Genomic DNA, 27,070 nt, shown 5'->3' with positions numbered 1-27,070 from the left:
TATGAGGATTAAATACAGACACTCATAGGTAAGACCTGTAACATGCTTACTGCATGCCTGGCACTGTTCTGAGCAATCTATGTAGATTAATTTATTTAATTCTGCTAACAGCTTCACCAGGAAGAAACTGTTCTATAGATGATAAATCCTAGGCACAGTGAGGTTTGGAAACTTGTCCAGGGTCTCACAGCTAATACTGGCAGAGCCAGGATTTGAATCCAAGCAGTCTGGTACCAGAGTGTGGAGAGGGTCAAGTACACACTAGGTGCTCAATACATGTGAAGTCCTTTTTCCTTTCATCTCAGGTCCCCAGCCAGCTGGGGCTGTGTATTAGTCCATCTTCACACTGCTAAAAAGAACTACCTGAGACTGAGTAATTTATAAAGAAAGGAAGGTTTAATTGACTCAGTTCCACGTGGCTGGGGAGGCCTCAGGAAACTTACAATCATGGTGGAAAGGGAAGCAAGGCACGTCTTACATGGCAGCAGGAGAGGGAGAGCATGAGGTGGGAACTGCCGCATCCTTTTACGCCATATGATCTTGTGAGAACTCACTATCTCGAGAACAATATGGGGAAAACTGCCCCCATGATCCAGTCACCTCCCACCAGATCCCTCCCTCCACATGTGGGGATTACAATTTGAGATGAGATTTGGGTGGGGACACAGAGCCAAACCATGGAGGCCATGGTTCAGGCCAGGGGAATGGCAGGTGGACATGGCTTGGCAAATTCCAGGGACAGAAAAGCAGCCACACAGGGATGCTCTTCAGAACACCGAGTGTACCCCAGACCCTAAAGTGGGCTTAGTTGAGACAGGACGGTGTCATCTTCCTCTACTCCCTGAGCCTGGGTTGCATGTGGAGGCCATTGCTGGGACCCCTGTGTGTACAAAGCTGGTGTGATGACCAGTCCTTGTGCCCAGAGAAGCATCTCCCTGCAGATGAGAGTAACCACTCACCCTGCTGTCGCTTCCCTTTGCAGGTGGCTTGCGGCCAATGTGGAGCTCCTGGGGAATGGCCTGGTGTTTGCAGCTGCCACGTGTGCTGTGCTGAGCAAAGCCCACCTCAGTGCTGGCCTCGTGGGCTTCTCTGTCTCTGCTGCCCTCCAGGTACTCCCCACATCCCCAAACTGGGCTTGAGGGACAGACAGAGGCAGAGACTGTCGGACCCCTGCTAGTGGGACCTTTGAAGACCCTGTGTCCAAACCAACATGGTGTGTGGAGTCCCTCCACCAAGGAGGGACACGCAGCTCTACAAGAGCCAGACTCAGCTAAGGTGAACTTGCAACCTTGGGCAAGAGTCTTTCCTTGTGGAGTGTCAGTGTGCTCCTTGGAAAGACAGGCCAGAAATCCCACTACTTCTGATGTTATAAAGACTAGTTGAGACAAAGCATATCCTGTGGAGGACATTTCTAGTGCATTGTTAACTTTTGTTTTGTTTTGAAGACAGAGTCTCTCTCTTTTACTCAGGCTGGAGTGCAGTGGTGCAATCTCGGCTCACTGAGAACTCTGCCTCCTGGGTTCAAGCGATTCTTATGCCTCAGCCTCCCAAGTTGCTGGAATTACAGGCGTGAGCCACTATGCCTGGCTAATTTTTGTTAACTATTAACAGTATGTAATGTCAGTTCATGACATCTATGAAAAAAATATATATATACACTCATAAGCATTTGTTATGGAGGAGGCATTATTCTAAGAGCTTTATATGTTTTTGTTCGTTTTGGTTTGTTGTTGTTGCTGTTTGAGACAGGATCTCATTTTGTTGCCTAGGCTTGAGTGCAGTGGCATGATCTTGGCTCACTTCAGCCTCCATCTCCAGGCTCAAGGGATTCTCCCACCTCACTTTCCCAATTAGCTGGGACTACAAGCATGCACCACCATGCCTGGCTAATTTTTTTTTTTTTTTTTTTTTTTTTTTTGGTAGAAACAGTTTCACCATGTTGCCCAACCTGGTCTCAAACTCTAGGTTCAAGTGGTCTGCCTGCCCCAGCCTCCCAAAATGCTGAGATTATAGGTGTGAGCCACCATGCCCAGCTGTTTTGTTTTGAGACAAGGTCTCACTCTTTTGCCCAGACTGGAGTGCAGTGGTGTGATCACAGCTCACTGCAGCCTTCAATTCCTGGGTTCAAACAATCTTCCTGCTTAGACTTCCAAAAAGCTGGGATTATAGGCATGAGCCACTGTGCACAAGAATTTTATAAATATTAACTCACTTAATACTGCCCACAACCCCATCAGAGAAGCACTGTTATTATCCTCATTTTACAGTCAAGGCTGCTAAGCTTAAGGATGAAGTAAGAGGCTGGAGCATGTTGGGTGGCAGTGAGGGAACTTTCCTACTGCATCCAGAAAGGCCTCTCTGAGGAGGTGACTTAGGAGGAAGTGAGGTTAACAGCAGGAAGAAAAGGCCTGGGAGTTGAAGGTTCATCCCTGGTGTGTTAGAGGAACAGCAAGAAGACGGGTGTGGCTGGAGAGGGTGGGTGAAGGCAGGGGTGCTGGGAGACAAGGTTGGGGATGGGATGGCAGGGCTAGAGCTGCTAATGGCTCATAGGGAGGAGCTTGGAGTGGTTCTAAGTGTCATGGGAAATTGGTGGCCACCCAGTCGCTGCGAGAAAGCCGTCAGAATGGAATCAGTGGGCCTGGGTCCTGCTGTGTGTCCTTGGGAGGGCCACACACCCTCTCTGATCCTGTCTACTCACCTGCATCAAGCCAGTTTGTACAAGCTGATGTCTGAGGGCTTCTTTTTGCTCTGCATGCTCTGGTTCTACTGAAGGAAGAGAGGGACCTGTTGGTTGTATCCAAATCCCAATCCCCTGGGCCCAGGTCCTCAGACTGTCCCATTCCTGCCTCCCCTCTTTACTCCCCTGGGTCTGGCCTCCCAGAAAAGGTTGGGAAACCAGGGGGGCTGTTGCAAGCCCTCAAGTGGCCTTGCCAAACCCAGCCAGAGAGGCTTTCTTGCACCAGGTGACCCAGACACTGCAGTGGGTTGTTCGCAACTGGACAGACCTAGAGAACAGCATCGTGTCAGTGGAGCGGATGCAGGACTATGCCTGGACGCCCAAGGAGGTGATGGGCGGGAGGTGGGGAGGGGGTCCCAGCAAGGACATATTGTGGGGGGGGGCAATGGGTCCCTGTTGACATCTGCTACAGGCTTTGGAGTTTATACCCTCTTCTCCCCTCACTCAACCCCCACCACTATAGGTCAGAGTCACAGACAGGGTGGCAGCAGTGGTTAGGAGCATAAGGTTTGGAGCCAGGCCAAATCTTGGTTCCTTTGCTTCTGAGCTTGAGGAAAGCAGGTCACCCATGGGAGTGCAGGGAACCACAAGGAACAGCATTGCAACAGCAACATAGCTGCAACATGATAGTAACATAATGGCAACAGCAACACAATGGCAATATTCCAGAACATGAGAGTAATGCAACAGCAATGTAACAGTAATGTAACAGCAACATAACCACAATATTGCAGTACCAGAATAGCAACATAGCAGTGTAATAGTAACATAATAGAGACATTATAGTAACATGATGGCAACATTCCAGCAATACAACCACAACATAGCAATGTAATAGTAACGTAATAGCAACATTTTAGTAACATGATAGAAACAAAACAGCAACATAGCAATGCAATAGTAACACAACAGCAACATCATAACATGACAGCAACATCCCAGCAACACGACTGTAACAGAGTAACAGAGTAGCAACATAACAATGTAACAGTAACAAAACAGCAACATTATAGTAACATGATGGCAACATTCCAGCAAAATAACTGAAATTATAGTAACGGAATAGCAACATGGCAATGTAACAGTAAGAAAACAGCAACATTATAGTAACATGATGGCAAAATTCCAGCAACATAACAGTAGCATTATAAGGACAGAACAGCAACATAGCAACGCAACGGTAACAAAACAGCAACATGATATAATGTGTTAGCAATATAACAGTAACATTACAGTAACAGAACAAGGAAGAATTAATTAGTTGATGAATAGGGTAGAAGAAATGGTGAGAGATGGACAGATGAATGGATGGAATGGGATGGAAGAATGAGAGATGGAGGGATGGGATTGGAGATGGATGGATGGATGCATGGATGGATGGATGGGTGGGATGGGGTGGATAAAGGATAAGAGATGGATGGATGAATGGATGGATGGGATTGGGTGGAAGAAAGGATAAGAACAGCAGCATAGCACTAATGTAACAGTAACATAACAGCGTTGAGTTTACTGGGAGGATCAAATGAGATCCTGCAAAGAAATGATTTAATAGAGTGCCTGGTCCATTGCAAACACTCAATACATGTCTGCTGCTCTTATTAGCCCTATTTCCCAGATTGGAAAACCAAGACTCAAGGGGGTAGAATGATCTGTTCAAGGTCACGGGAACAGCAAAGGCAGTATTGGTCTTCCCACTGCACAGTCATGTCCTTTCACAAAGACAAAGAGAAATGTCTGCTCCCACTATAGAAAAAGAGATTATTTTATAATAAACAGTGGCTAATAATAACAATAAAATAGACTAAAAGTAGCCACCACCATCTGTTTTTAGCATTGACATAGTCCATGCCCTCTCTTGTTGAATTCCCATAACAACCCTGTAAAACAGCAATAAATACGTCCATTTTGCGGAAGAGAAAACTGAAGCTGATAGAGGTGGGCCATCTTGTGTGAAGTCTTAGAGGAAGGCTCCTCTGACTCAGTTTCCCCTCCTGCTCCAGGCTCCCTGGAGGCTGCCCACATGTGCAGCTCAGCCCCCCTGGCCTCAGGGCGGGCAGATCGAGTTCCGGGACTTTGGGCTAAGATACCGACCTGAGCTCCCGCTGGCTGTGCAGGGCGTGTCCTTCAAGATCCACGCAGGAGAGAAGGTGAGTGGTTCTCTCACAATGTCTTCTTCATGGAGTTTAGGCCAAAGGACTCCAGGGACAAGGCCCTAAACCCTGGGCACCAGCCACCTCCACAGTGTCCCCACCTCAGGTCCCCTAGCTTTCAGACCCATTACCCCCTAAAATGAACTCCTCACCTTCCCCAAACCTGCTTCCATCTGGTGACTTCCTCATCCACCTTGGTGTCCCCAGATGAGGAAGCAACTCCGTGACTTCCTTCTTCCTTTAACATTAACCCAGCACCTAATATGTGCTGGGCAGTGTGTTAAATGCTCCAGGTACATTTTCCAGTTTGCACAAATGGGATATTTGCTTTCAGCTGGGAGACATTGGGAAAAGCACTTCATAGCTCAGTCTCAGTTTTCCCATCTGTAAATTGGGACTGGTAATACTGATCTCTGAGTTGTTGTGAAGTTTGAGTTAATACATAGAACATGCTTAGCTCATAGAAAGTGCTCCAGAAATGTTTACTAATGCTTTTATTATTTGCGTTTTCACTCTCACAACAACCCCTAAGTGAGGTGCTAGTACTATCCCATTTTACAGATGCCTCATCAGGCCCCTTCACTGAATCCCTTTCCTCCCTCCCTCTGAACCTACAGAGGCTTCCTCCCTGTCCTCTCCTTGTCCCCTAAAAAGCAGTGGATCCTGTCTCACCAGCTCCAATCTGCTCTCCTGTGATTTTTTTTTTTTTTTTTTTTTGAGACAGAGTCTCACTCTGTTGCCCAGGCTGGAGTGCAGTGGTGTGACCTTAGATCACTGCAACCTCCGCCTCCCAGATTCAAGTGATTCTCCTGCCTCAGCCTCCTGAGTAGCTGGGATTACAGGCACCTGCCACCACACCCGGCTAATTTTTGTATTTTTAGTAGAGACAGGGTTTCACCATGTTGGCCAGGCTGCTATGAAACTTCTGACCTCAATCACCCCCCTCGGCCTCCCAAAGTGCTGGGACTACAGGCATGACCCACCATGCCCAGCCATCCTGTGACCTTTATCAGCATGAATGACACTGCATGTCATTCCCCTGCTCAAAACCTTCTACTAGTTCCAGCTTCCCTTGGGGTAAAGTGTGAATTCCTGAGCTTGGCATTCAAGGCTCTACCCAACCCAGGCCCTGCCAACCTCCCCCTCTCATTCATTGCTCTGCCAGGGCTTAGCCAACATTGTGGAGCAGCTGCCTCTCGGCCAGGGGGGCACATGGTGCTGTGAGCTCCATGAGCTTCTAGTTTTGGAAACCCACTTGGTGTGGTTTACCTGGAGTGTTCCCCTTCCTTGAACTCCTATTGATCCTTCAAGCTTCCATGCAAGTATCCCTTCCTCCATGAGGTCTTCTCTTATTACCTCTGTCAAATCCCAGGCAGCATGAGCAGCACTGCCTTGCTTCCCTTAATTGCCAGAGGTCCAGACCTTGATAATAAACAGCATTGTTGGCTGGGTGCTGTGGCTTATACCTGTAATCCCAGCACTTTAGGAGGCCAAGGTGGGCAGATCACTTGAGGCCAGAAGTTTGAGACCAGCCTGGCCAACATGGTGAAATCCCGTGTCTACTAAAAATACAAAAATTAGCCGAGCATGGTGACAGGCACCTGCAGTCCCAGCTACTAGGGAGGCTGAGGCAGGAGAATTGCTTGAACCTGGGAGGTGGAGGTTGCAGTGAGCTGAGATCGCACCACTGCACTCCAGCCTGGGCAATAGAGCAAGACTTTATCTCAAAAATAAATAAATAAATAAATAAATAAAGCATTGTTCATCACACTGTATTACATTTACTCAATTGCACTGTTTCCTAGACCGGATGATGGGCACACTGGAGCAAGGACTCTTTAATTTCTATACTTCCGGTGCCTAAACAGGTACTTGGCATACAGTGGGGTGACCCACATGTTTCCATCATTAATTAAACAAATAATGTTGAACCCACACCATGTGTCAGACACTGAGGATGCAATAGTAGCAAGAGAGATAAGGATGGAGGGTGGATAACAGCATGGGAGATGGATAACAGAATGGACACATGGATAAGATGGAGGATGAATGGAAGGATGGATGAGGGAAGGATGGACTGGATGGATGGATGGGAGAAAATAAATGAATGAAAGGATTAGTGAATTGATGGATGAATAGGGAAGAAGAAACGAGAGACGGATAGACAGATGAATGGATGGATGAATGGAATGGGGTGGAAGAGAGATGGAGGGATGGGATTGAGGATGGATGATGGATGGATGGATGGCAGGATGGGGTGGAAAAAAGGATAAGGGATGGATGGACGGACAGACAGATGGATGGGATGGGGTAGAAAAAAGGATGAGAGATGATGGAGAGGTGTAAATAGAAGGATGAGGAAAGATGGAGGAACTAAAGGAAGGGTGGGGAGAAAGATGGGAGAGAGATATCAGGATAAGGGAAAGATAGAGAAGAACACAGATGGAAGACTGGATGGATTGATGGGTGGATATATAGAAAGGTAGACAGATGGAAAGAGAGATGGAAGGTAGACCTTTACACAATGAGGGATGGATAGACAGATCTCGGGTACAGCAGAAAGATCTCCCCAATAAATGCCCACAAACCCTCTGGTCAGAGCAGGCCTTTCCTCCCAACCCCGGGCAGGTGGGCATCGTTGGCAGGACCGGGGCAGGGAAGTCCTCCCTGGCCAGTGGGCTGCTGCGGCTCCAGGAGGCAGCTGAGGGTGGGATCTGGATCGACGGGGTCCCCATTGCCCACGTGGGGCTGCACACACTGCGCTCCAGGATCAGCATCATCCCCCAGGTGAGGCTGGTGGAGGGGGTGGGCAAAGATGGGAGGCATGGTGGGACCCGGCTCTGACCCACCGCCCCTCCCCGCCAGGACCCCATCCTGTTCCCTGGCTCTCTGCGGATGAACCTCGACCTGCTGCAGGAGCACTCGGACGAGGCTATCTGGGCAGCCCTGGAGACGGTGCAGCTCAAAGCCTTGGTGGCCAGCCTGCCCGGCCAGCTGCAGTACAAGTGTGCTGACCGAGGCGAGGACCTGAGGTATGGTCGTCCCACCATGGCTGGGACCTGCAGGTGGGAGAGGAGGGGATGGCCATGCCCTCCCCAAGGGCCTTCAGGAAATGCCTCCCCCGATAGGATTATCACTCTGTTACATTAATAACCACATGTCTCTTATCTGCAATTCCAAGCTCTGACACAGTCTCTGAATACCAAGGTTTTCCCCCCTAAATTAGCAGTTAGTCTTCTATATTTACTTGGTGGCAAAACCCAACCTCAACTGACACAGGGCTACTGATAGCCTTTATTGCTCTTGCTCAGTATTTATTTTGCTATGAAAATATTGTTTGATATCGGGTGGTAACCTCACCACTCACTGGGACTATAATATAGGATTTTTTTTTTTGGTAAATGTCAAGTGTGGACTGGGCACAGTGGCTCATGCCTGTAATCCCAGCACTTCAGGAGGCTGAGAGAGGAGGATTGCTTGAGCCCAGGAGTTCGAGACTAGTCTGGGCAACATAGCAAGACCCTATCTCTGTGGACAACAGTATTAGCCAGGTATGGTGGCATGCACCTGTAGTCCTAGTTACTTGGGAGGCTGAGGTGGGAAGAACGCTTGAGCCAGGGAGGCGAAGGTTGCAGTGAGCCGATATTGCACCACTGCACTCCATCCTGGGCTTCGTCTCAACAACAAAAAGCTGTGTGGAAAGATACACATAAAATTTACTATCTCAACCTTTTTTTTTTTTTTTCTTTTTCTTTGGAGACAGGGTCTGGCTCTGTCATTCAGGCTAGAGTGCAGTGGTGAGGTCAAGGCTCGCTGCAACCTCCACCTCCCAGGCTCAAGCATTCCTCCCACCTCAGCCTCCCGAGTAGCTGGGGTTACAGGTGTGAGCCACCAGGGCCAGGTAATCTTTTTATTTTTTGTAGAGACAGGGTTTCACCATGTTGCCCAGGCTACAGTCGAACTTGCGTAGGCCTCCCAAAGTGCTGGGATTACAGGTGTGAGCAGCCACGCCGGGCCCATCTCACCCATTTTTCAGTGTATAGTTTCTGTAGTGTTAGGTACATTCACACTGTTACACAACAGAACTACAACTCTGTACCCATGAAACCCTAACTCTCCTTGTCCCCTCCCCCAGCGCCCAGCCACCAGCATTCTCCTGTCTCTCTGAGTGTGACTACTCTAGACACTGCATAGACGCAGAATCATAGGATCTGTCCTTTTGTGACTGGCTTATTTCACACAGCATGATGTCTTCAAGGGTCATCCACATCGTAGCATGTGTCAGATTCTCTACCTTTTTAAGGCCGAATAATTTTCCACTACATGGATAGACCACATTTTGCTTATCCGTTTATCTGCCAGTAGATACCCAGGCTGTTTCCACCTCTTGGCCGTTTTGAATAATGCCACTATGAACATAGGTGTATAGGTATATGCCTTTAGAAAAACCAAAGTGGCTGGGCGCGGTGGCTCATGCCTGTAATCCTAGCACTATGGGAGGCCGAGGCGGGTGGATCACCTGAGGTCAGGAGTTCAAGACCAGCCTGACCAATATGGTGAAGCCCCGTCTCTACTAAAAATACAAAAATTAGCTGGGTGTGGCGGCAGGCGCCTGTAATCCCAGTTACGTGGGAGGCTAAGACACTGAGACAGGAGAATCGCTTGAACCCGGGAGGCAGAGGTTTCAGTGAGCCAAGATTGTGCCACTGCACTCCAGCCTGGGTGACAGAGTAAGACTCCGTCTCAAAAAAAACAAAAAAAAACCTAAGGTGTTCTGGATTTATAAACCCCTCTGACCCTGAGGGTGTCCGAAGGGCTTGTGGTAGGCAATAATTTCCAGCACTAGAGAGGCAGCGTTGCTTGGTGGGTAAGAGTATACACAGGTGACAGACTGCCTGGGCTCAAATCCAGGCCCCCCACCCCACACCCCCACCCCCGCCCCGCCCTGCCACTTACTAGCTGTAGGATCTTAGGCAACTTATCTTGTGTGCCTCAGTTTCCTCATCTGTAAGGTGGGAATAATAGCACCTACCTACCTTGCAAGGATTGAATTATATGCACAAAGTTGTTGAAACAGTGGCAGGCATAGAGCAAAGAGTAAATACTCATTTTAGTCCTGAGTCACACTCCTGATAACATCATTTCACAGAGTTGGAATTGGAGGCCTGGGGCTTGCCTGACGTCACACAGCTTAAAAGTAGTGAGGTTGGGACAAGACCCAGGCACTCTAACGCCTGCATGACCATAGTAGGTTCTGATCATGTAAAAGGATGCTGTTTCATGGAAGGGCTTACTGTGCAAGACAGCCATGCTGGGGCCCCAGGGGTCAGTTCCCACCTGGGTCAGGGGCTCACTGGGCTCACAACCTGGAATCTCAACTCCTCCACCCTCCACGAAGGGTGCTACTCCATGCCAAGGGCTTATTCTGTGACAAGCCTACACACTTTTTTTTTTTTTTTTTTTTTTTGAGACAGAGTCTTGCTCTGTCGCCCAGGCTGGAGTGCAGTGGCGCGATCTTGGCTCACTTGCAAGCTCTGCCTCCCGGGTTCACACCATTCTTCTGCCTCAGCCTCCTGAGTACCTGGGACTACAAGCGCCCGCCACCACGCCCGGCTAATTTTTTGTATTTTTAGTACATACAGGGTTTCACCGTGTTAGCCAGGATGGTCTCGATCTCCTGATCTCGTGATCCGCCCACCTCAGCCTCCCAAAGTGCTGGGATTACAGGTGTGAGCCGCCGTGCCCCGCCACCCACACACTTTTATGTGCCATGTCGTCACGATTCAGCGAGGACGGATCCATTAGGAGCACAGACTCTGGGGTCAGAGGACTTGGGTTCAAATTATGGACCCACCACTAGCCTTGAGACCTTGGTCAAGCCACTGAGCTTCTCTGTATCTGTGTCCTCTTCTCTCAAAAGAAGAGAACAATAATATCTACCTTGGTGGACATTATGAGGATTGAGTGAATATATACAAGCACTTAGAATGTGTTTGGCACAAGGTGGAAACTAGAAATAGAACTGGACATAGCCATAAACAGGCCAGGCACGGTGGATCACGCCTGGAATCCCACCCAGGTGTTGTACACATCTGTATTTAAGGCCCACGTGACACCAGCCTTGAATGTCTTAGGAAGACTGTAGATTTGATTCTTGAAGCAGCAGTCAGTCATTGTAGGTTTGTTTGCAACGGCATGACTGAAGTGAAAGCTGTGCTTTCGCTGTTGGGGGAAATATAAATTAGTACAGTCACTATGGAAAATAGTATGATGATTTCTCAAAAAACAAACTAGAAATAGAACTACCGGGGCGCAGTGGCTCACGCCTGTAATCCCAGCACTTTGGGAGGCTGAGGTAGGTGGATCACCTGAGAGTTTCAAACAAGTCGGACCAACATGGTGAAACCCCATCTCTACTTTAAAAATACAAAAGCCAGGCATGGTGGCGCATGACTGTAATTCCAGCTACTTGGGAGGCTGAGGCAGGAAAACTGCTTGAACCGGGAGGCAGAAGTTGCAGCGAGCTGAGATTGTGCCATTGCACGCCAGCCTGGGTGGCAGAGCAAGACTCCGTCTCAAAAAAAAAAAGAAAAACGAAGAAGAAAAAAAGAGCCATAAACAGAAAAAAGAAAATAGCCATTTCACAGGTGGGGAAACTGAGGCACAAAGGGTTTGAATGACCTGCCTACAGTCAGCCTGCTCAAAGATGGCAGGAACAGGCTTCCTATCAGTTCTGCAGACCACAGACCCCAGACCCCATGTGTGGGGATGCCTGAACACAGGCACCTCACTCCTGCACTGCTTCAGGGACCTGTTTCTGGGCACACCCACACATCACCATGTGCCGACAAACGCACGTCCCAGCTAATTGTCCCAATCGTTCCCAGCGTGGGCCAGAAACAGCTCCTGTGTCTGGCACGTGCCCTTCTCCGGAAGACCCAGATCCTCATCCTGGACGAGGCTACTGCTGCCGTGGACCCTGGCACGGAGCTGCAGATGCAGGCCATGCTCGGGAGCTGGTTTGCACAGTGCACTGTGCTGCTCATTGCCCACCGCCTGCGCTCCGTGATGGACTGTGCCCGGTAAGGCTCCCGCCCCGGCCTGACCTCACAGCAGCCCTGCAGTGGTGGGGGAAGGAGGCGGAGGCAGTCCTGGGCCACTGGGCTTCGGGTTAGAGCTGGAGGGGTCCTGAATGGGGCCAGAGCGGGAGGAATGCCCGGGAACACATGCCAAGTGGGAAAGCTGCCCAAGGACATGCGCCCAGCACACGCTTCCAACCCAGCTGTGAGGGCCAGGGAGCCGCATGGAAAGCAGGACTTCTATGGAGAAAACCTCAGCGCAGACACACTGGGCTCTCACAGCTGCCGAGAGCCTGGGCTGGTGTCCAAAGAGCCTCTCTGTCTCCCTCTCCCCCACAGGGTTCTGGTCATGGACAAGGGGCAGGTGGCAGAGAGCGGCAGCCCGGCCCAGCTGCTGGCCCAGAAGGGCCTGTTTTACAGACTGGCCCAGGAGTCAGGCCTGGTCTGAGCCAGGACCCTCAACCGTACCCCAGTTGGACCAGCCCGCACAGCCTGCAGTGCTGGAGATGGAAGTGACCCGTGGTCATCGATAGCTCCACACGATATTGAGTCTAGACCTGTGTTTGCTCTCTGGGAGGAAAATGGCAGAGAAAGTGGCCAATTATCACAGAGCATCAGAGCCGGAAGGACCTAGCAATACACAGGTCTGCCCGGGCAGGGCCCATCTCGCCCTGTCCACCCTGCAGCCAATGTCAACAGCGACTCTCAGCCCCGCTGTACTCTGGACTCACCTGGGGGCCTCAAGCACATGCCCAGGCTCCCGGCTAGACCCTTAAATCAGAATCTCTGAGGCTGGGAACTGCCATGCTGTGTGTACTTTTTACAAATTAACACTTTTATTTTGGGATAATCCCAGACTCACATGCAGTTAAAGAAACAATAATATAGAGAGATTCGTGTACTTGGTACCCCATTTCACCCAATGGTAACATCTTGCAAAACTCTAGGATAAAGCATCACAGCCAGGGTGTTGACATTGACACAACAATCTTGCTCGATTTCCCGTTTTACCTGTACTCCTGTGTGTGTGTGTGTTTATTTTGTCCCATGCAGTTTTATCACACATGTAGGCTCATGAATCCACACCAGGGTGAGGATACGGAATAGCCACCACCATTTTCCGACCACACCCATCACTCTCGCTCCTGCCCCCAGTGACCATGCTCTGTTCTCCAGTTGTGTGTGTGTGTGTGTGTGTGTGTGTGTGTATTTTTTTTTTTTTTTTTTTTGAGACAGAGTCTCACTCTGTTGCTCAGGCTGGAGTGCAGTGGCTCAATCTCAGCTCACTGCAACCTCCACATCCTGGGTTCAAGCAATTCTCCTGCCTCAGCCTCCCGTGCAGCTGAGATTACAGGCGTGCGCCACCATGCCTGGCTAACTTGTGTAATTTTTATTAGATACGAGGTTTCAGCATATTGGCCAGGCTGGTCTTGAACTCCTGGCCTCATGTGATCCACCCTCCTCGGCCTCCCAAAGTGTTGGGATAACAGGCGTGAGCTACCGCACCTGGCCGAGTTTGGTGTATAATTTTAAAGCTCCCCCATAGGATTCCAATGTGCGGCCAGGACTGAGAACTACAGCCCTCGCATCTCCTGCTGCTCCTCCTCCCCCACCAGAGATGAGCTCCAAGGACACAAAAACCAGGTGCCCCCCCATGCCAAGCATGGGTCCTCTCCACGCATGAGAAAGTCAAATATGCAAGTTTGGTTTCCAAAACAAACAACAGAGGAGCCAAGACTTCACAGCCCTCAATGGGAGAATTTGCCCGAGGACTTGGTTCTTTTTTTTTTTTTTTTTTTTTTTGTCCGAGACAAAGTCTCACTCTGTCACCCAAGCCGGAGTGCAGGGGTGCAATCTTGACTCACTGCAACCTCCACCTCCCGGGCTCAAGCGATTCTCCCACCTCAGCCTCTGGAGCAGCTGGGATTACAGGCGCCCACCACCACGCCCAGCTGATTTTTGTATTTTTAGTAGAGACGGGGTTTCACCATGTTGGCCAGGCTGGTCTCAAACTCCTGACCTCAGGTGATCCGCTGGCCTTAGCTTCCCAAAGTGCTGGGATTACAGGCGTGAGATACTGTGGCTGGCGGGTTCATTTCCTATATGTGGTTGCTAAAAACCAAATTCCAGCTCCCTGGGGGCGCCCCAGCACCCGTCGGAACACCTGGAGTGTTTCTGTTCACAGTTCCGCTCCAGATGCTGCTGACAGCCAAAGGCTGGACCCGGCTGAGCGTGGAGAACTTGCTGTAACCAAGGGTGGTCAATGCACAGCTTGTTGCATTCCTCACACATTTCTTTTTTTGTTTTTTGAGACAGAGTCTTACTCTGTCACCTAGGCTAAAGTGCAGTGGCAAGATCTCGGCTCACTGCAACCTCTGCCTCCCAGGTTCAAGCGATTCTCCTGCTACAGCCTGCCGGGTAGCTGGGATTATAGGCACCCACCACCACACCTGGCTAATTATTTTTGTATTTTTACTAGAGACGGGGTTTCACCATGTTGGCCAGGTTGGTCTTGAACTCCTGACCTCAGGTGATCTGCCCACCTCGGCCTCCAAAAGTGCTGGGATTACAGGCGTGAACCATCATGCCCAGCCTCCTCACTCCTCTTTCTGACAGCGGTCAGTATATTAATACTGGACTCACCAAACCAGCTGCAGGCACCGGAAAAGAGGGACTAAGTCTAAAGTAGCCAAGCCTAAGGCCACACATAGATCGCTGGGAAGGGCAGCGTGAGACATTAGACAACTCCCTAGATCCTAACATTATGTATGCTAGTCAGGGAGTCTCACTGACCTCGTGGCATTGCCGCAAGAATGACATAATACATGGATATGTGTTCGTGGAAGCACAGAAGGCAATCCCCCAGGCTTTCTGAACCTTATTGACACGTGGGGCCAGATAGTTCTGTGCTGTGGGGACATGTCCTGCACATCGTAGGACGTTCAGCAGCGCCCCTGGCCTCTTCTTCACTAGATGCCAATAACATCCTCCTTCTACCGCCACCAGACTTGTGACACTGCCATTAATCCCCCAGGGGGTCAAAGCCACCTAGTTGGGCCGGGTGCAGTGGCTCATGCCTGTAATCCCAGTGCTTTGGGAGGCGGAGGCAGGTGAATCACTTGAGGTCAGGAGTTCGAGACCAGCCTGGACAACAAGGTGAACCCCTGGCTCTACCAGACATACAAAAATTAGCCGGGTGTGGTAGCAGGTGCCTATAATCCCAGCTACTCTGAAGGCTGAGGCAGGAGAATCGCCTGAACCCAGGCAGAGAAGGTTGCAGTGAGCCAAGATCACACCACTGCACTCCAGGCTGGGTGACAGAGCAAGACTGTCTGAAAAAACACAAAACAAAAAGACCCACTTGGTTGAGAATCCCCGGTCTAACCTGCCCCGCTGCCATCCATCATCCACAGATACTTGAGCAGTGGCTTTGCTGGTGTCAGGGGTGGCAGGGCAAGAACTCCACCTTTTCTTAAGGACACAGGGCCTGCTCCGCCCATCAGGTCATGGGACTTTCTGATGGCCCATCCTCACAGGTTTTGTGATGCCCCTTTTGGCCTGGAGTAAACTTCTAACTGCAGCTTCTACCACCTTCAAAGTGGGGCAGGAAGTCCGCATTCTTGACCTGCCCCTAGTCATGCCTGCAAAGCTGTGGACCCACAACTACCTATTCCTAGCTCCATTTCACAGGTGAGGAAACTGAGGCTCAAGGGGTTGACATGACTTGCCAAGTTGACCCAGTCAGTAAGGACAGAGTGGGGATCTGTTTCTGGGTGTAATACCAAAGTCATTGCACAGGACACATTTGTCCTTTAGAGAAAGGAAGGGCGGCAGATGCAGCCTGTCTTCTCTGGCTGGAGCTGAGCCACCTGCCTTGCAGAGTGACCCTAGGCAGGGGCTGCCATGTGGGCATTTGGCAAACTCAGCTGGGGATGACCCAGGGCCACCAGACTCTCTTTCCTAGGCTGTGTGCCAGGGAGCAGAGGGTGGGCCACAGGCGGCCAGCACGTGGGAACCGGCACCTGCCAGCCTGCTAACGAGACTGCTGTTGGGCCCACACCACGGCAGTCTGGAGACGCGCCAGAGGGGATGCCCAGGCCATTAATACCCCCGCCATGGGCTGCTGCCAGTAGGGTCTGGCTGGTGGGTGGAACACGAATTTCATCCATCAAGGCTGCAGACTTCCTCTCTGGTCAGTGCCTGCGCCCAGTAGACTCTTTAAAACTCAACAGTCCACCTCGCCACTGCAAACACGTAACTACGTATACCTGACACTGCTTTAAATGCCCGCCACGCACGCATTCAGTGGACCAGAGGAGGAAGCCACCTCACTGGGCCCCTTACTGGAACGTTTTGATGAGGAAGGTACTACCATCAGGCCCTTTTGACAGATGAGAAAACAAACAGAATGAGTGGCATCTCTGCCCAAGCAGTGTGGCTTCAGAGCCCGTGTCCTCACCATCAGTCACTCACTCTGTCACCCAGGCTGGAGTGCAGTGGCGTGATCTTGGCTCACTGCAACCTCCACCTCCCAGTTCAAGCAATTCTTATGCCTCAGTCTCCCAAGTAGCTGGAATTACAGGCACTCGCCACCACACCTGGCTAATTTTTGTATTTTTAGTAGAGACAGGATTTCACCATGTTGGCCAGGCTGGTCTCGAACTCCTGACCTCAGGTGATCTGCCTGCCTCGGCCTCCCAAAGTGCTGGGATGACAGGCGTGAGCCACCGTGCCCGGCCAGTGCGTGTTTTCATAAGGTCACTACAGCCACCAGGTTGAGGACACTGATGTGTGTGTGGGGGGCTGGGGGCAAAAGCCTCGAGACCACTGTGGCAGCTGTTGTAGGGATGCAGGGAGAAAGTGGGGTGGCTGGGACCAGCGTGGTGGCAATGGGAGGACGGGGAGTGGATAGATTCTGGGTGTTTTGCAGAAAATCAAACAAATTTGCTGTAGGACCCGATGGTGGGTGTGAGGACAGATGAACAGTTCAACACTGGAAAGCACCAGCCCCCTCCTTACGCCTCTCTGGTCTGGGGGGATCCTTTCCAATGTGGAGAGTTCTGCACAGTGAGGCCAGGGCCAGCACGTAGTAGGTACAAAACAGAGCTTCCTTCCACAGTACTTCCACTCCCCTGGATGAGGAGTTATGCCTCACTCTGCCTCCTCTTCATAAAGTGGATTAAACTTGAACTCAGCCCCGGATTCCACCTGAGCATGCAGCTGCCCCACCCCAAGACACTGGCACAGATGCACACCAGGTGGAGCTCTCTGGGACTGCTTAGGATCTGACCTGGGATTTTAAGACTCAGGGTCAGGCTTTGAGATCTAAACACATCTCACATCCCTATTAAGATTCCCGCTGGTAGATCCAACTACTACTCTTTTGAAATGGAGTCTCGGCTTGCTCTGTTGCCCAGGCTGGAGTGCAATGACTTGATTTCAGCCCACTGCAACCTTTATCTCCCACATTCAAGCAATTCTCCTGTCAGCCTCCCCAGTAGCTGGGACTACAGGCATGTGCCACCATGCCCAACTAATTTTTGTGTTTTTAGTAGAGACGGGGTTTCACCATGTTGATCAGGCTGGTCTTGAACTCCTGACCTCAGGCAATCCACCCGCCTCAGCCTCCCAAAGTCCTGGGATTACAGGCGTCAGCCACTGCACCCAGCCTCAACTACTTCTAATTTAACAAAAAAAAAGTTTTTATATAGAAAGAGTTCCACTATGTTGCCTAGGCTGGTTTTGAACTCTTCAGCTCAAGCAGTCCTCCTGTCTCAGCCTCTCAAAGTGCTGGGATTACAGGCATGAGCCACCTCGTCTAGCCAATACTGCTAATTCTAATAGTCACAACGTCACCAGTTTTTCACTGGGCACCTTCATACTCTGTGGTTCCTAATGCAAGCCAATGACATCATTCAGGCATGAGCCACCATGCCCGGCTGGCTGATACTACCTATTCTAATGGTTATGACCTTACTGGCTTTTCACTAGGCACCTTCACACTCTGCAGTCCCTAATGCAAGCCAACAGTTTCAATGGGGCATGAGTCACTGCACCCAGACACTACTACTCATTCTAATGGTCACCACCTCGCCGGCTCTTCCCTGAGCACCTTTGTACACCACAGTCCCTAGTGCAAGCCAACAATTTCAATCAGGGGACAGGAAAGCTTGAGGGAACAATGGCAGTGCTAGAACGTTCTATCTGCACATGTACTTGGTGCATGGTTTTAGGTGTGGCAGAAATGGTGTGCTCCCCAAATACAGACATTCCTTACTGCCCAGACTCACCCAGTTCGAAGTTAGAAACCGAACACACTAGTCTGACTACTCCGCTATCCAAAACTCCAGAACCACATCAGTTAGGAAAGGGAGAAATCCTTCTCTTCCACAGGCACCGCTCCATTTCCCAGCTCCCGCAGTGGTTGGGTTGGGGCCATGTGACTCATTTTGGCCAATGGGCTGTGAGTGGGATTAACTGCGTCAGTTCCGGTTTCAGACACAGAAGAGTGGGTGAGAGTCGTCCACTCTCCCTTCTCCCACTGTGGGGACCTGGAGGCCAACCCTTGGGAGGCCATGTCACAAAACCAGGACAGCCTGGATCACTTGTCACAGGGAAGTCACCTACCCTGGAGAGGCAGCTGACCCTCACCAAGAACTGCGTGAGCAAGAAATAAAGCCTTGTGATCATTTCCGAAGATTTTACGGCGAATTTGTTACTGCAGCGCAGCCTCGCCTCTCTGGACTAACATAAAGGGATTTTCAGGCCAGGTGCCTGAACCCCAGCACTTTGGGAGGCTCAGGCAGGAGGATCCCCAGAGCCCAGGAGTTTAAGAACAACCTGGGTAACATAGCAAGACCCTGACTCTATAAAAATTTTTAAAAATTAGCTGGGCACATGCCTGTAGTCCCAGCTACCCAGGAGGCTGAGGCAGGAAGATTGCGTAAGCCCAGGAGTTTGAGGCTGCAGTGAGCTATGATCGTGCCACTGCACACCAGCCTGGGCAACAGAGTGAGACCGTGCCTCTAGCAAAAAAAAAAAAAAAAAAAAGGGCAGGGGGAGGGCAGGATTTTCAAGGATCGTTCTGGCCACATGTGATTTCTGCCTCGCCTGTGTCTTAGAACCTGACCGAGGCTACGAGTACCGCACACATCACTGCTCACAGGGTAAGTACGATCAGCCTCATTTTACAGACAAAGCAAGTGAGGCACAGAGGCTGAGTGACTTCCCCAGGGTCACAAGAACAGCAAATGACAAGAGCAGGACTCAAGCCAGGGTCTGTCCAACCCCAAAACCTGGGCTCCGTCCACCTTGCGGCTGTCCCGCCTTCCCACTAAACCCCATCTGACTAGTGATCTCTACAACTTGCCCTTTCTGGCAACAGCTCCCACTAGAGGCGACTTGTTGTCAAAAGGAAAGAACAGAAACAGGAAGATGCCACATCCTGACCCTGCAGAGGACATGGCTGGAACCCTCGCCGAGGCCCCAAAGGAAAGGGAACCATTCTTTAGAAAGAAATAAAATATATAGATATATATATATTTTTTTACTGCAAATGTTCGCATTTCCAGTGTAAGTCATTACAAAAGGATCCCCCAAAACTTAGTTTATCTAATGTGAAAGAATGGTATAACTTACAAAAAATAAATATATGCGTTTTCGCCTAAAAGAAAGATGCTCTCTGGGTTTGAAGTCGGCGGCGTAATTCTTAGCAAGTCTGAGTCTTGGGGCAGCCTCAGCTCTGGCTGCCTTCCGGATTCCACTTTGGGCTCTAACGAGACACCTTAAAGAACAGGCTTTAAAAGATGCTGCTTCCCTGTTTTCTTCCAGGAACACAGAGACCAACACGGTTTCAAACACAGGGCGAGCTTCTCACTATTTCCTGGGAATGTTACTTCTCAGCCCAACACTTCTATTCCCAAGAAGTTCAAGTTTTGAGACTGTTTTTCTCCCCGGAACAGTACTTAAAAAAAAAAAATCATTGATATTCAAAGATGGGTTCTTTTCGTGTCCTGGAAGAGCATCAGTAACTAAATATCAAGTTCTCCACAATGCTGCCCCCCCTGGGGGGCTAACCGGATGCCAAGGGAGAGAATTAACATCTAAAAACAAGGAAAAGACTCAAGGGGACATTTTTTTGGTACCCACTGGTAATACTTGGGAGGTATTTCGTGTTCTTTACTTTGAAAGCTTCATAACCATGAGCAGGTACCATGAGAGGGAAAGAAAAGAGGTGGTAAGAAAAAAGAACAAAATCAATCAACACTGTAAGCAACCAACACTGCTTTGGGCCAGGCCCCTAACACATTTTTCTGCTAGGACTGGCATAGTACCTTCCAGCTGGTTGCTCACTCTCAGTCTCTATTTCTAGTCAAGGTCAAATTCCCATGAGGCCATCTCCTTAATATTTACCCCACATCAATCATGGTGGGAACAGTAATAACAGCATTGATTGTTCTTACAATGTTGAACAAAAGAAAAAAGGGAAAGCCTGGAGTCGGGGTGGGTGGGGAGGGAAGCCCCAGGTGGAACGTCGGCCCTGAGACAATCCCCTGGCCCTACAGTTCCAGGTCCAGGTTAGCCGTTAGTCCAACCAGGTCCCTTCCAGGAGGACAGGCGTGGGAGTGCAGAGGCTGCCTCTGGCCCAAAACGAGAACTGGTAGAGCTGGCGCTGAGATGCTGGTTCCCAGCTTTTGAGTGCCTGGAAGACCAGATGTTGGTAAGAGGACCATCCAGGGCCCTGGGACACTGCCAAGGGGAGAAAATGATTTTCTCCAGGCCCCTCAACCACAAAACTGCAGCCCCAAGGAAATGAAGCGTTCCTGGTAGACCCAGACAAGGATGTTAGAGGTGATGGGAGCCAGAAGCATCTCAAAGACTTGCAGTCCACAGACTTCGGCTGGAGAGATCCGAGGCAGTAGGCTGAATTTGGTCACTAGGATCTTCTATACAACCAATTCCTCCAGAAGTCTGGCTGCCAAAACTCCTCCGTGGGAAGCACCAGGAAACCACTTGCATTCCTGGGGGCGTGAGGCTGTGTGTCTGTCTCAGGGCACCAGGGGCAGGGTGTGCGTGTTTTGGGTGGTTCGCATCTCTGTCTCTCCTGGGTCTTCACAGCCAGTTCCAGGCAGGGGACCGGATGGCGGTGGCTGCTGCTTTGAATATGTTTTGGTTGTCTGGGTTTGGTTTTTATGTTTTGGTTTCAGTGTGGGAGGCTTGGTTTACCAGGGGTACTGACTCCTCCCTGGGCGCTGGCATATAGGCCCTGCAGTTCTGACCAGATATGCCAGCTCTGGGGCTCACACCAAGCCGGCGTCTTTGGCCATGCTGTAGAAAAGACCTCTCTGCTGCAGGAGGTCCGATGGGGCGCCGTACTCCTGGATTTCTCCTTTGTCCAAGACGATCACCCTGAGGGAGAGGGGATACAGACATGAGGGGAAGGGGAGGGGTGAGCACCTCGTGCCCCTGGGACAACTGACCTGGGCAAGTCACTGCTTCGGGTCAGGCCCCTAACACTTTTTGCTAGGACTGGTGCAGTACCTTCCAGCTGGTTGCTCACCCTCAATCCCTATTTCTAGTCAATGTCAGATTCCCATGAGGCCAGCTCCTTAATATCTACCCCACATCAATCATGGTGTGAATGGTATTAACAGTGTTGACTGTTCACATTCACTGTTCCATTACATTCAGAGTAAAATAAAAAGATCTTACCACAGTCTACAATAACGATTGGCAACATTTTTCTGAAAAAGGCCAGATAGTAAATACTTGAGGCTCTGCAGGCCATATGCTTTCTGTTACAACTACGCATCTCTGCTGTATTTATAGTGTGAAAGCTGCCAGAGACAACAGGAAAATGAACAGATGTGGCTGCGTGCCAATAAAACTTTATTCATAAAAACACGCAGGGGGCCAGATCTGTGGCCTGTGGGCCATAGTTGGCTGACCCCTAATATTTTAGGTCCTGTAAGATTTGACACTGCCCACTTCTGTCCTCATTTCTATGTCCTATATTTCAAAAGCACCAACTCAGCATCTGCCACTTAGTAGGTGGTACTCAGTGAACTAGAAACATCATGTCAGCTGGGTGCAGAGACTCACGCCTATAATCCCAGCACTTTGGAAGGCTGAGGCAGGAGGATCACTTGAGGCCGCAGTGAGCTGTGATCCCACCACTGCACTCCAGCCTGGGCGACAGGGTGAGACCCTGTCTCAAAAATATATAAAATAAAATAGAAACTCATGTCACTTCCCTGCTTAAAACCTTCCAATGGCTTTATAGGGCTCTTAGAGTAAGTTCCAAGCTTCTCACCGTGGTTACATGGTGCTCTAAGATCCAGCCCCTGCCTACCTTTCTGGCCTAATCTCCTGCCCCTGTCCACTCAATTCCAACCTCTAGGTACATGGCCTCCTCATGCTAGCCTTCAAATTCATTAAGCGCATTCATTTTTACATTCGGCTGTACCGGCTGCCTAGAATGTTCTTCCTTTAGATCCAAGGTTGGCAAACTGTGGCCTGCAGGCCAAATCTGACCCCTTGCCTGTTTTTATGAATAAAGTTTTATTGGAACATAGCCATGCTCATTCATTCGTGCACTATCTATGACTGCTTTCACACGGCAACACTGGAGTCAAGTGGCTGAGAGGCCATGTGGCCCACAAAGCTGAAACTACCCCGGCCCTTAAGAACAAGGTTGCAGATCGCTGTCCCAGATCTTCTCAAGGCTGACTCCTTTTCATTGTTCAGGTCTCAGCTAAAATGTCACCTCTTCAGAGATGACCCACACAAAACTCAAAACCCCCCAGGACCCTGGCACTATGGCAGCATTCTGACTTTTGTGGTCCCCGGCACTGATGCCTACGGAGGTGGCTTTCTCCACACAAAATGCTAGAAATTCTATTTTATGACTGTGTTAGTATAAATAAAATCCAGGTTGGATTATATTCTTTTTTTTTTTTTTTTTTTTTTTGAGATGGAGTCTCACTCTGTTGCCCAGGCTGGACTGCAGTGGCACAATCTCAGCTCACTGCAACCTCCACCTCCCAGGTTCAAGCAATTCTCCTTCCTCAGCCTCCCAAGTACCTGGGATTATGGGCACGCACCACCACACTTGGCTACTTTTTGTATTTTTAATGGTGACAGGGTCTCACCGTGTTGGCCAAGCTGGTCTCAAACTATCGACCTCAGGTGATCTGCCTGCCTCGGCCTCCCAAAGTGCTGGGATTACAGCCGTGAGCCACCGCACCTGGCCTGCTTCTGATTTTTTAAAAAAAATAAAACCTTTTTGTGGGCCCCACGCACTGGGCCTGCAGTGTTCAATGGAAACAGTGGCCCTGCCCAGCACTCGCTATCCCGTCTCCTTGGCAAGCGTCCTTCCCAGCACCTGCTGCCCTCTGGAATCCTGTTGGTTTATTGCTCTGTATATTTTTTGTCTCCTCCATCTAATAAGCTACTTGGTCCTGGAGGCAGGGACTTTGTCTGACAGCAGCCTACAGAGTCCCCAGTGTCTGGGAACACCGCAGGTGCGCTGACGTGAATGAATGACTAGATGATATTAGAAATACCTGGTACCACTGGGCACAGCGGTTCATGCCTGTAATCCCAGCAATTTGGGAGGCGGAGGCGGGCAGATCGCCTGAGGTCAGGAGTTCGAGACCAGCCTGGCCAACATGGCAAAACCCTGTCACTACTAAAAATATAAAAGTTAGATGGGCGTGGTGGCACATTCCTGTAGTTCCAGCTATTCGGGAGTCTGAGGCAGGAGAAATGCTTGAACCCCAGAGGCAGAGGTTGCAGTGAGCCGAGATCACACCACTGCACTCCAGAGATGAAGCGAGACTCTGTCTCAAAAAAAAAAAAAAAAAAAGAAATAGCTGGTACCATCCAGGATGAAGAGAGGATCCACCCACTGGGGCTGTCACTAGGGATAAGGACAGTGTTGAATGAATTAATGAATTAATGAGTGAGCCAGTGAGTAAGGCAAACTCCCAAAGCCTAGAGGCCACTGTGCCAGTGGCATCACCTTGTGTAGTCCATGATGGTGTTGAGCCGGTGGGCGATGGTGAGGACGGTGCAGTCCTCGAACTGTGTCCGGATGGTGGACTGGATGAGGTCGTCCGTTTCCAGGTCCACGGCTGCCGTGGCCTCATCCAACACAAGGATCTTCGTCTTCCTCAGCAGGGCCCGGGCTAGGCACACAAGCTGGCGCTGCCCGACACTTGACCGGAAGAAAAAAACCAGGAGATAGTGTTGGGTCAAACCACCCCTGACCCTGAACCTAGGCCCAGGCTGGGAGAAGCGAAAGGAGACACTCTATGTTGCTTGACCAGGAAAGCATGTCCACTCCCAACATCTGTGTCTGCAGCAGACATCACTAATCAATCAGAGCACATCTCCTATTCAGCAAGATGCAGGTTCAGAATCATTCTCAAAACAGCAGCTCACACCTACAATCTGAGCACTTTGGGAGGCTGAGGTGGGAGGATAGCTTGAAGCCAGGAATTTGAGACCAGCCTGGGCAAAAAAGCAAGACCCCCATCTCTCCAAAAACAAAAATAAACAAATTAGCTGGGTGTGGTGGCATGCTCTTGTAGTCCCAGTTACTGGGAGGCTGAGGCAGGATTGCTTGAGTCCAGGAGTTAGAGTCCGAGATCAATCCACTGTACTCCAGCCTAGGCAACAGAGTGAGACACTGTCTCTTAAAAAAAATAAAATAAAAAAAAAATAAGAGCCGGGCACAGTGGCTCACACCTAGTATCCCAGCACCTTGTGAGGCTAAGGCGGGTGGATCGCTTGAGGCCAGGAGTTTGAGACTAGCCTGGACAATGTGGTGATACCCCATCTCTACTAAAAATGCAAAATTTAACTGGGCATGGTGACAGGCACCTGTCATCCCAGCTACTTAGGAGGCAGAGGCAGAACAATTGCTTGAGCCTGGGGGCGGAGGTTGCAGATGAGATTGCGCCACTGCACTCCAGCCTGGGTGATAGAGTGAGACCCTCCGTCTCAAAAAAAAAAAAAAAAAAAAAAAAAAAAGGCCTCATACCCATGCATCCCTTATCCAACTGTGGGGCCATGAGAGGTGGCTCTGGAATCAGACATGTTCCTTGCTTTGGCCAATGGGACACCAGCAAAAGTAAGGACAGCCAAAAGAATACTGTTAGATGCAATAGGGGCTTGCACGCTCTTGTGCCCCTGCCATCGCCATGACAACATGCCCAAGCTGGTCTGCTGGAGAATGAGGGATGCACGGAACATACCCTTCTTGCCCCACCTGAGGCCAAAAGCCAGCTGACCCCGAGATCAGCCAACAGCCAGCTGACTCCCAGACATGCATGTGAGCCCAGCCGAGATCAGCAGAGCCACCTGGCTGACTGCCCTCGTATGGCAGCAATGATCGTTGCTTTATGGTTGAACATGCCTGAGGCTTTATGGTTGGTTGTCATGGAGACGGATAACAGAACCAGAACCAGGCACTAACAAACACCACCAAAGCAGGACCCCAGAGGTTCCGCTGGTGTGCCAGGCATTAATGCTTTAGTTGCTGGGTCATGGACAGAGCTCCAGGATCCTGGTAGAGACCAAGACAGCTGGGGTAGTGCATGGGGACCTGGGGGCTCAGAGCAGTGCTAGTGACCAACTGGTACAGAAGACTTTCCATAGCTTAACAACTGACAGCCACTATCAACTGAATGGAGCTGGTGTGTATAAAAGGAAATGTACTGGTCATCCTGGTTATTCTACCTCATGGTACAAAGAGCCTGGATTGAGACCCGTTTTACAGATACAGAAACTGAGGCTCCAAGAGGTGAAGGGACAAATGGTCATCTGGGACTCAAATCCAGGTGACACAGATCTGGACAGAATCTTCAAACACCCCTACCGAGATGGCGCCTAGGACACCTTACCCGGTGTCTCCTTGTTCACCCCCGCCTACCTGAGGTTCTCCCCGCCTTCTGCACATTCATGGTCTAGCTTGTCAGGAAGGGCTGACACGAAGTCCTTCAGGTGGGCCAGCTCCAGGGACGTCCAGACTTCTTCATCCGAGTACTGGCTGAATGGGTCCAGGTTCATTCGGAGGGAACCCGAAAACAAAACAGGGTCCTGTTCAGAGAGAAGAGAGTGGACGGCATGTGACACCTGTGTCACGCTGACATGGATGGAGGCGACCTAAGGACTTCTGGCCAGGACTGTTGAAGGTGGGGTATCAGAGCTCCTTGGAATCACTATTTCTGGAGATGTTAATAATGGAGAAAAAGGCCAGGTACGGTGGTTCACGCCTGTAATCCCAGCACTTTGGCAGGCCGAGGCGAGTGGATCACTTAAGGTCAGGAGTTCGAGACCAGCCTGGCCAACATGGCAACACCCTGTCTCTAGTAAAAATACAAAAATTAGCTGGGCATGGTGGTGCATACCTGTAGTCCCAGCTACTCAGGAGACTGAGGCAGGAGAATCACTTGAACCCGGGAGACGGAAGTTGCAGTGAGCCAAGATTGTGCCACTGCACTCCAGAGCAAGACTCTATCTCCAAAAAAAAAATTGCCTTAATAATGGAAAAAAAAAAAAAAGTCTGGAAAGTCTGAGTTTGGCAGAATACAACAGATTTCCTTTCCATACAACTTCCTGGAGCCTTCAATATGCAAGTGGGTTGAGAACCTCCAGAAATGAGACGCAGCACAGGTGATTCCTAACAGTAAAGTCCCGTGGATTCTCCCGTCATCCAACCACAGAAGAGAATCTTCTAAGACACTTTAGGGAAGATTACACTAAAAGGCAACATATTAAGGAATCCACCTGCGGGGATTGGTCTAGAAAATCCTTATTTCAGCCAAGCATGTTGGCTCACCCCTGTAATCCCAGCACTATGGGAGGCCGAGGCAGGCAGATCACTCGAGGTCAGGAGTTTGAGACCAGCCTGGGTAACATGGTGAAACCCCGTTTCTACTAAAAATACAAAAACTAGCCACGCATGGTGGTGCGTGCCTATAATCCCAGCTACTTGGGAAGCTGAGGCAGAAGAATCGCTTGAACCCAGGAGGTGCAGGTTGCAGTAAGCTGAGATCGTGCCACTGCACTGGGTGACAGAGTGAGACTCCGTCTCAGTT

At 50.2% G+C, this 27,070-nt stretch overlaps 2 protein-coding genes across 35 annotated transcripts in view, besides 1 other annotated feature; one reads left to right on the top strand and one right to left on the bottom strand.

The window, feature by feature from the left end:
- Positions 1-12,982, top strand: part of ABCC6 (ATP binding cassette subfamily C member 6) — a 73,930-nt gene extending 60,948 nt beyond the window's left edge. For 5 of the 8 annotated variants that reach the window (NR_147784.1, NM_001440310.1, NM_001440309.1 and 2 more), the window contains 7 exon segments: positions 983-1,109; positions 2,964-3,065; positions 4,738-4,884; positions 7,516-7,674; positions 7,753-7,919; positions 11,775-11,969; positions 12,306-12,982. Coding sequence is in view for 4 of the 8 variants with exons in the window: in NM_001440310.1 (NP_001427239.1) it covers positions 983-1,109; positions 2,964-3,065; positions 4,738-4,884; positions 7,516-7,674; positions 7,753-7,919; positions 11,775-11,969; positions 12,306-12,414 (1,006 nt within the window). In the remaining 4 variants the exon portion in view is untranslated. 8 annotated transcript variants of the gene reach the window in all.
- Positions 11,921-12,215: a silencer, noted in NCBI's record as "tiled region #15590; HepG2 Repressive non-DNase unmatched - State 5:Enh, and K562 Repressive non-DNase unmatched - State 7:EnhWF". NCBI's record gives its function as "represses a minimal TATA promoter and a strong SV40 promoter by Sharpr-MPRA in HepG2 and K562 cells {active_cell/tissue: HepG2 | K562}" and the evidence as "EXISTENCE:reporter gene assay evidence [ECO:0000049][PMID:27701403]".
- Positions 19,494-27,070, bottom strand: part of ABCC1 (ATP binding cassette subfamily C member 1 (ABCC1 blood group)) — a 193,911-nt gene continuing 186,334 nt past the window's right edge. For 26 of the 27 annotated variants that reach the window (XM_047434134.1, NM_004996.4, NM_019898.3 and 23 more), the window contains 3 exons: positions 25,903-26,069; positions 23,989-24,183; positions 19,494-21,374 (listed from right to left, as the gene is read on the bottom strand). In XM_047434134.1, the coding sequence (XP_047290090.1) occupies positions 21,266-21,374; positions 23,989-24,183; positions 25,903-26,069 (471 nt within the window). In that variant the 3' untranslated portion in view covers positions 19,494-21,265. The remainder of the gene's footprint in view (positions 21,375-23,988; positions 24,184-25,902; positions 26,070-27,070) is intronic. The other variant, NM_001438755.1, reaches the window with a different exon arrangement.

This window comes from Homo sapiens, chromosome 16 (genome assembly GCF_000001405.40).
Source record: "Homo sapiens chromosome 16, GRCh38.p14 Primary Assembly".
Taxonomy (NCBI): Eukaryota; Metazoa; Chordata; class Mammalia; order Primates; family Hominidae; genus Homo; species Homo sapiens.
Note: the sequence above shows the minus strand (reverse complement) of the source record. Positions and strands in the feature narration are given on the sequence as shown.